The sequence below is a fragment of the Homo sapiens genome, chromosome 7 (genome assembly GCF_000001405.40).
Source record: "Homo sapiens chromosome 7, GRCh38.p14 Primary Assembly".
Classification (NCBI taxonomy): Eukaryota; Metazoa; Chordata; class Mammalia; order Primates; family Hominidae; genus Homo; species Homo sapiens.
The window spans coordinates 130,795,300-130,809,117 of record NC_000007.14 but is presented as its reverse complement, the minus strand read 5'-3'; the positions used below and the strand labels follow the sequence as shown (position 1 = coordinate 130,809,117).

The 13,818-nt window shown below is 40.4% G+C and overlaps 2 long non-coding RNA genes across 5 annotated transcripts in view; one reads left to right on the top strand and one right to left on the bottom strand.

Moving 5' to 3' along the window:
- Positions 1-13,818, bottom strand: part of LOC105375508 (uncharacterized) — a 119,688-nt gene that overhangs the window by 44,834 nt on the left and 61,036 nt on the right. The gene's annotated exons all lie outside the window — the stretch shown is intronic.
- Positions 1-13,818, top strand: part of LOC105375509 (uncharacterized) — a 41,820-nt gene that overhangs the window by 23,621 nt on the left and 4,381 nt on the right. Inside the window, exon 3 of one of the 2 annotated variants that reach the window (XR_007060529.1) lies at positions 2,397-2,476. The exons of the other annotated variant lie outside the window; for it this stretch is intronic. This is a non-coding gene — a long non-coding RNA (uncharacterized LOC105375509). Of the gene's footprint in view, positions 1-2,396; positions 2,477-13,818 lie in introns of those variants that run through there. 2 annotated transcript variants of the gene reach the window in all.

Genomic DNA, 13,818 nt, shown 5'->3' with positions numbered 1-13,818 from the left:
TTAAAGCCACAGCTACACATTAAAGTGGCACAAAGTAGTTTCTGGAAATAAATAATTTCTAATACTTATGTGGCACTTGTAGTGTACCATTTTAATAAGTTCCTTATCCGGTACTCAGATAAAATAAGCATGCTTTCTAGAAGGTACTAGAATCTACCAATCCACTTGAAGTTCAAGTACCAATCTACTTGAAGTACATAGCCAAGCATGGTGGCTCACACCTGTAATCCTAACACTTTGGGAGGATGAGGCAGGTGGATCACCTGAGGTCAGAAGTTCGAGACCAGCCTGGCCAACATGGTAAAACCCCATCTCTACTAAAAATACAAATAATAGCCGGGCGTGATGGCAAGCACCTGTAATCCCAGCTACTTGGGAGGCTGAGAGAGAAGAATCACTTGAACTTGGGAGGCGGAGGTTGCAGTGAGCCGAGATCGCACCCACTGCACTCCAGCCTGGGCGACAGAGCAAAATTCCATCTCAAACAAAAACAAAAACAAGCACATGACTTTAAAAAAAAAAAAAGACATCCTGTAGTTCAAATAAACCTTGCAGCTGGTAAGTCCTTCTACCAGACAGGCCCGTGTACACAAAATGGCATCTTTTTATCTTGATATTGCCAACTAAAATGTGTCATGGAGAGAATTTCTCCTTAACCACAGAATCTAAGGATTTTAGAAGACTTGGCCTGGCACTGTAACGGAAGGCAGACTGTCCTCAGATTTGCAGATATATTATTTAGAATTCACTTAAAAGAGCTGGAAAATACCTTCCTTTAGTGAGAAGATTCCAAAGGCCTAGGTAATCCTATTTTTTCTGAATACTGACATCAGCAATGTAATATTAATGTCCTTTAAGTGTCAAAAAGATCATGCGAACATTTCCAGATATCAAAACTAGATGATACAGATTTGGCTTTTGGATACCATGCCAGCATTTAGATCACGTCAATTCAAACTCAACCCTGAATCTGACTCTACGCATTTCATAAAATTGCCTTGCCTGAATATAAACAGAATAGCGGGCAGCAGTAAAATTTCCACAACATTTTTCCTCTTTTTGTTCTATTTACAGCGAGAAGTTTTTGTTTGTTTGTTTCTGCAGACACACATTTATAAATGTTCTGCTCTGCATGGAAAGTTAACACTACCAGAGTGAGTTTTGTTTTAAACATGCAAGGAGATGTTTTTATATGTACAGAAAGGGACCTAATAATTATATCAAGGAGGAAAATGGGGTAGATATGTCCTGACAAGAGTGTGAGCACAGTGGCTGCACTGAAGTCATGAGGGCTCTTGCTAGCTAGGGATAAAATCTCATTATCTCCAGTTATGGGTGATAACATTTGGAAGAACACTGTTTCCAGTTAAAAGTATCCTAGTTATCTGCTCTGGAGTAATCCAAGATCCACTGAAACCAAGGCTGCTTCCCACACCCGGCTGTCATGTGTACCACTGTTGTGCTTATATTAATAATACGAGACTTCAACTCTCGGACTTCATTTCCTCCTGACAATAGCACCATGAGTTGTTTAGGAGGAGATGACAATTTAAAGCAACATTTTCTAAGTAACTGAAATAAATCCAGTCTCAGGTATTATGCCTAGAACACCACCAAGAAGCATGTCCTGATCCAGCTAGGTTGGGGTCATGGGTCCAGATCTAGCTACTCAATCCATTTTCCAAGATGGCGGTGGTCTGCATCAAGTTAAGAACTTGTTTCCCTTCCTAATTCCTTTGGCTGTGAACTGACTTAGAATTGAAAACATATTATTTTGGCTAAAATTTATGAGTTATTTCTTTGCCTCAGCTTGCTTTCTTAAGATTTGCTTGTACGTTTAAGAATAACTACAATGTAGAGTTAAACCCAGTCATATCAGAATGGTAGATTCTTTCCCCTACAAAAAGAACCCTCCAGATTTATGGATGTCTTGCTTTGACTTACATCTGTCCATGTTGCCACAGAGCTTAGTCACTTTTTTCTTTGCCTTTCCTTGGTTCCTCCTGCATTTTGAGGGTGGTAAGGAAATATAAACATTAAAATATATATTTGATTTATTGCCTGATCCATTTTCTCTGACAATAGAAATGTCACATCCAATAAGAAATTAAATCATTCAAATATGTCTTTGTAACTGGAAATTAATTCACTCTTTTATAAGAATTTGAAGCTATGTATTTAGAAAATATATACAGTCATTACTTTAGGAAACTGAATAAAATCCACTAGAAATTTGAGGAAAGGATCCAAGACATTTTCACAACTGTCTTCCCAAGATTCTTTATAGTTGAATACAAAATAAGACATGAGAGATCATAAGTCTTGAGAAATGTGTTTCATATTTAGGGCAAATAAATGTTTCCCAGCTGATTTATAATCTCTTCTTTTCTCAAAAGCAGCAAAAAACATCATTATAAAATGTAAAATGGAGAAGAATGGTCTGAAGGGCCACCATGCAGCCATACGGCACAGGATCTAGATTATGCACCACAGTGGTTCTGAAATGTGGTCCCTGGTCCAGCAGCCTCAGCATCACCTGCAAACTGGTTAGAGATGGAAATTCTCATGTCCTTCTTCAGACCAACTACATCAGAAACTGAGGATGGGGCCCAGCAGTCCCTGTCCTAACAAGTTCTCCAGGTGACCCTGATGCACACTCAAGTTTGGTACCACTGCACTGTGATTTTTTGTTCTGAATCTGAGGCCTGCTATTGTGAATCTGCCATACTTAAAAAGAAAAAAGTTGGAAAGTCATTTTCAACTAAAAAACATTTCAAACAGAGGAAATAGAAAAAATAAAGGACTGAAGGCCAATGTCTTGGCTGCAGAAGCAGCTAATGCATTTTATTTTTAGACCGCATCCGTTATTTATTTCTTTTCTTCCAATCCCAGTATCTTGGAATTAGGCTTTATTGTATCAAAAAGAACAGTCACCCACAATGCACTAGAACAACTCACAAGCCAGCATCTCATATGACTGGCTGGTACCCATGCCATATAAAGCTTTAAATGTATCTCCCCAACAGGGGATGGTAGAAAATACAAACACATGGAGCAACTACTGTCTTAGAATTTAATTATGGTTAATAAAGAATACAAATGAAATATACAATTATGAAGGTATCAGGGAAGGACCCAGTAGAAAGAATTCACTCCAGATGATTCAAATAAAGAGACCTTAGTGAAGGGAAGATTTTAGAGGTGTGGGAAAGATGAAGGAAGCAAACAAAGTAGACACAGGGACCCAGAGACCGGCGACAGCGCGGAGTCACCAGCATCCTTGGATGGAAGCGACAAGGGAAGAAAATAGTGTCACCGGCAAAGAAGGTGGCCCAGTGGGAGTTGTCTTCATGGAGGGATCCAGTTACTGCCCAAGACAGAACTCCAAAGCATGAAGCTAGGATGTTAGGTATATTGTGACTTATCTCTCCTGACCTCCAATCTCCTGCCTTCCACCTGCCAAACTCAACCAGGAGCTAATGGCAAGGGAGCCCGGGTGATATAACCCACACGGGTCTAACCCCCAGGGTATGGAGCCAAGCAGAGAAGAATGAGACTAACTGGGAGGGGTGGAGTACTAGAGAGTAACAAGGATTACTGACAAATAGGACTTAGAGGCTTTGACTCTCATTTAACTCTACTTTTTTGGGAACAGGTACATGCATCATTTCTCTTTTATGATAGGCAGCTTTAACGTTGAACTCCAATTTTTAAAAGGTCTTTAAATAAATATGTACTGTTTCAATGTTGTATTAACCCTAGTGATGTCAGCAACTATGACCAAATTAATAACCATAATTATCAGAGACTTTTAGAACTTTTGATCCAGAAATGGCATTGGAACAATTTATGTAGCTAAACAGCTTTAAAATATTGTTTATATCCCACAAGAACAACTCATAAAATATATTAGCATATTTTAATTAACACGTTTTAGTAGGAAAATTATATTTAAATGACACTTTGTTATCCTCTTAACAGCTTTACAAGTAATTTTCAGACACATTTGAATCCCTGCCCAGAGGGTTTTATTAGCATAAAACAACCAAATAATTTAGCAACATTTATAAAAAGTTTTGTGTGACCATCCAAATTTCTAAAGCTCTGATTTTGGGTTCCGTAGTACATGTATAATCAGTATAGGAGAGGAACACAAAGTCGCCTTTCTACAACTGTCTCTACTTTATAGATAGGGACCAACAAGAAGACCTCTACCTGCAGGGCAGACCAGTGGCTTGCTGCTGCTGGCTTACACTGGCCTTGAGAGTGGATTCTGTGCCTCTCCTCCCCACTCCATATTTAGTGGCTTCACATGGATAGTTTGAAATCTGCCACAGTGGGAGTATTGACACCATGGAAACTGACAAAAGCTAGGAATAGGACTTTATTTTTTTTTTAATTTTAATAAATTTTTCATTTTATTCAAAGTTGGTATAGAATTGCTAACATTTCCATAAAATAATTACTATGCTTCCATTGCAGGAAAAAATACCACAGAAAGGAATGTACTTTGCAAAAAATTGTAGTTCATCTTAAGTTTCCAAATACTTTTGAAGGCTAATGCAGCAGCTGGCAAAATAACACACAGTACACAAAGAACAGTGTATTTTACAGAGTCAGTAATGAAAACGGACAGCTCTTCAGCAGATGTGCTTCATTTTTTTCATTTTTTAAACAATAACACTTTGAAAGACACATAAAACCAAGATCATACATGTCCGAAGAAATTCTGGCCCTGGCTTTTGCCCTGGCTGCCCTCTCTCCCCCAGATAGTCATAGTCTCACTCCCTCACGTCAGGTCAGAGCCCAGAACAGCACTCCCTCCCACCACTTTCTTCTTTCATGCTGCATTTCATTCACAGCTCACCACTGCCTCATTTTACTTTATGGATTTGTGTTTATTGTCTGCCTTGTCCACTAAAGTGCCAGTACCATGAGGCAGAGACTTGACATGTCTTGCTCACCACTGTATTCCCAGCAACCCAAACAGTGCCCAGCACATCATAGGTGCTCAGTAAGTACTTTTATATAAATGAACAAATGAATAATAACAGCAGTTGCTTTGCAGATGAAGGGCTGGAATAGGGAGAGCTGGAGGCTTTTCCTTCCTTCCTTCCTTGACACTGAGTGTCACCTCTGTCGCCCAGGCTAAGACTTTATTATCTGTGAAAATACAGAGGCCCACTAGGCATGCAGGCTTCTCCCTGGGACCTGTAACATATTTTTTGGTTGTCTAGGATTTGCTGGGGACACCCCTTGTCTCTACGATTCCTGTGGACTTTACTACTGAAATAAACTCTTTTTCTGGGGCTGATAATACTGGAAGTTTCCATGTTGCATGTACAGTTAGTACCTGCACTGAGGTAGGTGAGACACCTCTACCTGGGGCCATTAGTATCACTGTGGCCCAGGCCTTCCAACTGTCCACCTCAGGAAGAGGCGGTCTCTTCAAACACACTGCCTCACCCCCAGCCTGTCCAGGGGTAGAGCTTAGCCAATCCCTAGACATTTCCCCGTGAGCCAGCATCCTCCTCCTCCTGCTGTTCTCAGGCCCACCTTCTATTTTGCCAGAGTTGGTCTTGCTTCTCTGGTCTCTGTAAGTGCTCCTTGCGGCTTGGCAAGGTCTCTCCCAGCTCCTGCTGTCTGAGGTCCAGATTCTCACACATTTTAATAATATGTACTTTTTCTTTAATACCATCCGTTTACCTCACACCCTACTTACACTCAAGGACAGGAAGAACAATTCAGCCCCCCTCCACCACTTTCTCTGTTCAGAAGACACATGAACTGTGGCCACAAGCCAATGCCCTACATTAGCCTAACCATAGTTTTCCCCTAATACTTGAAACTATGACAAGTTCTTAGCAGAATGCCAGATGTTTTTGCCCCAGGTTACAAAGGCCATTATTTCCTAAATAAAATTGAGCCTGAATCGAAAAACTCATTTAACTCTTTAGTGACATTTTATTTATGCCATTATATTAAAATAATTTAGTGTCTGTGTGAGCTATGGAGCCACCTGATAATGAAATTTCTATTTAACATTTTCCTTCTCGCATTTAGCCCATATATTATACTGAATTGCCAGGTTCAGAGAGCAAACAGAAGTTTAAATAAGAAATTACTTTCTAATTGCTGGCAAGATGGCCAAATAGGAACAGCTCCGGTTTGCAGCTCCCAGCGACATCGACACAGAGGGTGGGTGATTTCTGAATTTCCAACTGAGGTACCTGGTCATCTTATTGGGACTGGTTAGACAGTGGGTGCAGCCCACGGAGGGCGAGCTGAAGCAGGGTGGGGCATTGCCTCACCCAGGAAGCGCAAGGGGTCGGGGACCTCCCTCCCCTAGCCAAGGGACGCCCTGAGAAACTGTGCTGTGAGGAACAGTGCACTCCAGACAAGATACTGCACTTTTCCCATGGTCTTCGCAACCCCCAGAACAGGAGATTCCCTCCAGTGCCAACACCACCAGGGCCCTGGGTTTCAAGCACAAAACTGGGCGGCCATTTGGGCAGACACCAAGCTAACTGCAGGAGGTTTTTTTTGTTTTTTTTTTTGTTTTTTTTTCATACCCCAGTGGCACCTGGAACACCATCGAGACAGAACCATTCACAGGGAGCCAACTGATCTGGCTCAGTGTGTCCCACCCCCACAGGGCCCAGCAAGCTAAGATCCATTGGCTTGAAATACTCGTTGCCAGCACAGCAGTCTGAGGTGGACCTGGGACGCTAGAGTTTGGTAGGGGGAGGGACGTCCACCATTGCTGAGGCTTGAGTAGGCAGTTTTACCCTCAAAGTGTAAACAAAGCCACGGGAAGTTTGACAGGGTGGAGCACACCGCAGCTCAGCAAGACCACTGTGGCCAGACTACCTCTCTAGATTTCTCCTCTCTGGGCAGGGCATCTCTGAAAAAAAGGCAGCAGCCCCAATCAGGGGCTTATGGATAAACCCTCATCTCCCTGGAACAGAGCACCTAGGGGAAGGGGCAGCTGTGGGCGCAACTTCAGCAGACTTAAATGTCCCTGCCTGAGGGCTCTGAAGACAGCAGCAGATCTCCCAGCACAGAGTTCGAGCTCTGCTAAGGGTCAGACTGCCTCCTCGAGTGGGTCTCTGACCCCCATGTCTCCTGACTGGGAGACACCTCCCAGTAGGGGCTGACAGACACATCATACAGGACAGCTCCAGCTGGCATCTGGTGAGTGCCCCTCTGGGACGAAGCTTTCAGAGGAAGGAACAGGCAGCAATCTTTGCTGTTCTGCAGCCTCTGCTGGTGATACCAGGCAAACAGGGTCTGGAGTGGACCTCCAGCAAATTCCAGCAGACCTGCAGCAGAGGGTCCTGACTGTTAGAAGGAAAACTAACAGAAAGGAATAGCAACAACATCAACAAAAAGGATGTCCACTTAGAAACCCCATCCGAAGGTCACCAACATCAAAGACCAAAGGTGGATAAATCCACGAAGATGGGGAGAAACCAGTGCAAAAAGGCTGAAAATTCCAAAAACCAGAACGCCTCTTCTCCTTCAAAGGATCACAACTCCTTGCCAGCAAGGGAACAAAAGTGGATGGAGAATGAGTTTGATGAACTGACAGAAGTAGGCTTCAGAGGGTGGCTAAAAACAAACTCCTCCAAGCTAAAGGAGCATGTTCTAACCCAATTCAAGGAAGCTAACGATCTTGAAAAAAAGTTAGAGGAATTGCTAACTAGCATAACCAGTTTAGAGAAGAACATAAATGACCTGATGGAGCTGAAAACACAGCACAAGAACTTTGTGAAGCGTACACAAGTATCAACAGCTGAATCAATGAAGCAGAAGACAGGATATCAGAGATTGAAGATCATCTCAATGAAATAAAGCGAGAAGACGAGATTAGAGAAAAAGGAATGAAAAAGGAACGAACAAAGTCTCGAAGAAATATGGTACTATGTGAAAAGACCAAATCTACATTTGATTGGTGTACCTGAAAGTGACAGGGAGAATGGAAACAAGTTGGAAAACACTTCAGGATATTATCCAGGAGAACTTCCCCAGCCTAGCAAGAGAGGCCAACATTCAAATTCAGGAAATACAGAGACCAGAGATTCTCCTCAAGAAGACCAACTCCAAGACACATAATCATCAGATTCACTAAAGTTGAAATGAAGGAAAAATGTTAAGGGCAGCCAGAGAGAAAGGTCAGGTTACCCACACAAGGAAGCCCATCAGACTAACAGCTGATCTCTCTGCAGAAACCCTACAAGCCAGAAGAGAGTGGGAACCAATATTCAACATTCTTAAAGAAAACAATTTTCTTTTCTTTTTTGAGACGCCTCAGCCTCCCAAGTAGCTGGGATTACAGGCACGCACCATCATGCCCAGCTAATTTTTTGTATTTTTATAGAGACGGGGTTTCACCATGTTGGCCTGACTGGTCTCGAACTCCTGAACTCAGGTGATCCGCCTGCCTCAGCCTCCCAAAATGCTGGGATTACAGGCGTGAGCCACCGCGCCTGGCCAAAGAAAACATTTTCGACCCAGAATTTCATATTCAGCCAAACTAACCTTCATAAGTGAAAAGGAAATAAAATCCTTTACAGACAAGCAAATGCTGAGAGATTTTGTCAGCACCAGACCTGCCTTACAAGGACTCCTGAAGGAAGCACTAAACCTGGAAAGGAACAACCTGTACCAGCAACTGCAAAAGCATACTAAATGGTAAAGATTATCGAGACTATGAAGAAACTGCATCAACTAACGGGCAAGATAACCAGCTAGCATAATAATGACAGAATCAAATTCACACATAACAATATTAACCTTAAGTGTAAAAAGGCTAAATGCCCCAATTAAAAGACACAGACTGGTAAATTGGATAGAGTCAACACCCATCGGTGTGCTGTATTCAGGAGACCCATCTCATGTGCAAAGACACACATAGGCTCAAAATAAAGGGATGGAGGAATATTTACCAAGCAAATAGAAGGCAAAAAAAAGCAGGGGTTGCAATCCTGGTCTCTGGTAAAACAGATTTTAAACCACCAAAGATCAAAAGAGACAAAGAAGGGCATTACATAATGCTAAAGGGATCAATGCAGCAAGAAGAGCTAACTATCCTAAATATATATGCACCCAATACAGGAGCACCCAGATTCATAAAGCAAGTTCTCAGATACCTACAAAGAGACTTAGACTCCCACACAATAACAATGGGAGACTTTAACACCCCACTGCCAATATTAGATCAACAAGACAGAAAATTAACAAGGATATTCTGAACTTGAACTCAGTTCTGGACCAAGCGGACCTAACAGACATCTACAGAACTCTCCACCCCAAATCAACAGAATGTACATTCTTCTCAGCACCACATCGCACTTATTCTAAAAGTAATCACATAATTGGAAGTAAAACACTCCTCAGCAAATGCAAAAGAACAGAAATCACAACAAACTGTCTCTCAGACCACAGTGCAATCAAATTAGAATGCAGGATTAAGAAATTCACTCAAAACCGCACAACTACATGAAAACTGAACAACCTGCTCCTGAATGACTACTGGGTAAACAACGAAATTAAGGCAGAAATAAATAAGTTCTTTGAAACCAATGAGAACAAAGACACAACATACCAGAATCTCTAGGACACATTTAAAGCAGTGTTTAGAGGGAAATTTATTACGCTAAATGCCCACAAGACAAAGCAGGCAAGATCTAAAATCGACACCCTAGTATCAATATTAAAAGAACTAGAGAAGCAAGAGCAAAAAAATTCAAAAGCTAGCAGAAGACAAGAAATAACTAAGATCAGAGCAGAACTGAAGGAGATAGAGATACAAAAAACAGTTAAAAAAAATCAATGAATCCATGAGCTAGTTTTCTGAAAAGATCAACAAAATAGACCACTAGCCAGACTAATAAACAAGAAAAGAGTGAAGAATCAAATAGACGTAATAAAAAATGATACAGGGGATATCACCACTGATCCCACAGAAATACAAACTACCATAACAGAATACTACAAACACGTCTACGCAAATAAAGTAGAAAATCTAGAAGAAATGGATACATTCCTGGACACACACACCCTCCCAAGTCTAAACCAGGAAGAAGTTGAATCCCTGAACAGACCAATAACAAGTTCTGAAACTGAGGCAGTAATTAATAGCCTACAAACCAAAAAAAGTCCAGGACCAGATGGATTCACAGCCAAATTCTACCACAGGTACAAAGAGGAGCTGCTTCCATTCCTTCTGGCACTATTCCAAACAATAGAAAAAGAGGGACTCCTCCCTAACTCATTTTATGAGGCCAGCATCATCCTGATATCAAAACCTGGCAGAGATGCAACACAAAAAGAAAATTTCACGCCAACATCCCTGATAAATATCGATGTGAATATCCTCAATGAAATATTGGCAAACTGAATCTAGCAGCACATCAAAAAGCTTATCCACCACGATCAAGTTGGCTTCATCCCTGGGATGCAAGGCTGGGTCAACATACCCAAATCAATAAACGTTAATCCATCACATAAACAGAACCAATGACAAAAACCACGATTATCTCAATAGATGCAGAAAAGGCCTTCAACAAAATTCAACACTCTTCATGCTAAAAACTCTCAATAAACTAGGTATTGATGGAATGTACCTCAAAATAATAACAGCGATTTATGACAAACCCACAGCCAATATCATACTGAATGGGCAAAAATGGGAAGCATTCCCTTTGAAAACTGGCATAAGACAAGGATGCCCTCTCTCACCACTCCTATTCAACATAGTATTGGAAGTTCTGGCCAGGACATTCAGGCAACAGAAATCAATAAAGGGTATTCAAATAGAAAAAAACGGTATTCAATTACTCTCAAATTTATTAAGAGTAATTGTCTCTCTTTGCAGATGACATGACCGTATATTTAGAAAACCCCACAGTCTCAGCCCAAAACCTCCTTAAGATGATAAGCAACTTCAGCAAAGTCTGAGGATACAAAATCAATGTGCAAAAATCACAAGCATTCCTATACATCAATAACAGACAGCCAAATCATGAGTGAACTCCCATTCACAATTGCTACAAAGAGCATTAAATACCTAGGAATCCAACTTACAAGGGATGGGAAGGACCTCTTCAAGGAGAACTACAAACCACTGCTCAAGGAAATAAGAGAAGACACAAATAAATGGATAAACATTCCATGCTCATGGATAGGAAGAATCAATATCATGAAAATGGCCGTACTGCCCACAGTAATTTATAACTTCAATGCTATCCCCATCAAGATACCACTGACTTTCTTCACAGAATTGGAAAAAACTACTTTAAATTTCATATGGAACCAAAAAGGAGTCCACATAGCCAAGACACTCCTAAGCAAAAAGAACAACACTGGAGGCATCATGCTACCTCACTTCAAACTATACTACAAGACCACAGTAACCAAAACAGCATGGTACTGGTACCAAAACAGACATATAGACCAATGGAACAGAACAGAGGCCTCAGAAATAACACCACACATCTACAACCATCTGATCTTTGACAAACCTGACAAAAACAAGCAATGGGGAAAGGATTCCCTATTTAATAAATGGTGTTGGGAAAACTGGCTAGCCATATGCAGAAAACTGAGACTGGACCCCTTCATTACACCTTGTACAAAAATTAACTCAAGATGGATTTAAGACTTAAACGTAAGACCTAAAACCATAAAAAACCCTAAAAGAAAACCTAGGAAATACAATTCAGGACAATACCATTCATAGGCAAAGACTTCATGACTAAAACACCAAAAGCAATGGCAACAAAAGCCAAAATAGACAAATGGGATCTAATTAAACTAAAGAGCTTCTGCACAGCAAAAGAAACTTATCATCAGAGTGAAGAGGCAACCTACAGAATGGGAGAAAATTTTTGCAATCTATCCATCTGACAAAGGGCTAATATCCAGAATCTACAAAGAACTTAAACAAGTTTACAAGGAAAAAACAACCCCATCAAAAAGTGGGCAAAGGATATGAACAGACACTTATCAAAAGAAGACATTTATGTAGCCAACAAACATATGAAAAAAAGCTCATCATCACTGGTCATTAGAGAAATGCAAATCAAAACCACAATGAGATACCATCTCACACCAGTAAGAATGGCGATCATTAAAAAGTCAGGAAACAACAGATGCTGGAGAGGATGTGGAGAAATAGAAATGTTTTTACACTGTTGGTAGGAGTGTAAATTCATTCAACCATTGTGGAAGACAGTGTGGCAATTCCTCAAGGATCTAGAACCAGAAATACTATTTGACCCAGCAATCCTATTACTAGGTATATATCCAAAGGATTATAAATTATTCTACTATAAATATACATGCACATGTATGTTTACTGCGGCATTATTCACAATAGCAAAGACTTGGAACCAACCCGAATGCCCATCAGTGATAGACTGGATAAAGAAAATGTAGCACATATATACCATGGAATATTATACAGCCATAAAAAAGGATGAGTTCATGTCCTTTGCAGGGATATGGATGAAGGTGGAAACCACCATTCTCAGCAAACTAACACAAGAACAGAAAACCAAACACCACATATTCTCACTCATAAGTGGGAGCTGAACAATGAGAACCCATGGACACAAGGAGGAGAACATAACACATCAGGGCCTGTTGGGGGGTGGGGGACTAGGGGAAGGATAGCATTAGGAGAAATATCTAATGTAGATGATGGGTTGATGGGTGCAGCAAACTACCATGGCACGGGTATACCTATGTAACAAACCTGCACGTTCTGCACATGTACCCCAGAACTTAAAGTATTATAATAATAATAATAATAATAATAGATTACTTTCTGTATACCTGACCAGTGGGTCTATGTCTGGGTAAGTATGAGCAACCACAAATCTCCTCTGTAAGTTTGTTTCCCAATCTGCAAAATGTGAACCATAATGGTCCCCACCTGGCTAGACTAAGATCCAAAATACAGCTTGCACAGAGCAAACATCCAAACACATTCATCATAATTTTCATTATTATTACTAATGTGGAAGTCCACATGTCCTCTTTCATCCAAATTTTATCTCACTTTGAGAACACAGGACCTTTCTGAGTTCAAAATAGAACTTAATTTCTCATCTCTTTTTTTTTCCTACCTAGAATGTTTGGGTTTTTGGTTTTGTTATTTTGTTGTTTTAACTTTTATAAAGAGAGATAATATAAAGAGGCAACAAATTTATTAAGAGTAAATTCATATTACTGTTTGGTGAAGGTCTAGCACAAATAGTAAAAGTTGTTTTGGACACTCTCCATTCTGCTATTCTAGGGAGTGTTCCAACCATACTGAAGAAATGGCCATCTGAGGGGATGGGGAGAAGAATAATGGATTTAAGGTGGGAGAGAAATATGACCACAAAAAGGATTATATAAAAATGAGGCAAAATTGATCACCCTGGCACTGGGCTTGTTCCCCCTCTATGGGGTTTCCTCTTTTTCTTAGATCAAAAGAATTTGAAAGATTTTTGTAATCAGAGAGAACTTTGAAAGCAGAATATGCAGTTACCAGGGGAGGGCGAGATGTTTCTATCTGAGGAACACACTTCATTATTAGCACTTTATCTAATATCCATGTTAGTATCCTGCACGGTCCAATGCGTTATGCTGTAAACATTTTAAATTTATCTACATATGTATTTACTTAGCAGTAAATAAAAAATAAATGGATATTAAAAAATGAGAGTTTCCCAGACATTTAAAACATGGATAGTAGCTTAAATTTTTTACATGTCCAATATGTCAGATTCTTGTAACTGTTTTAAAGCCCTTTAGGAATAAGTCTGA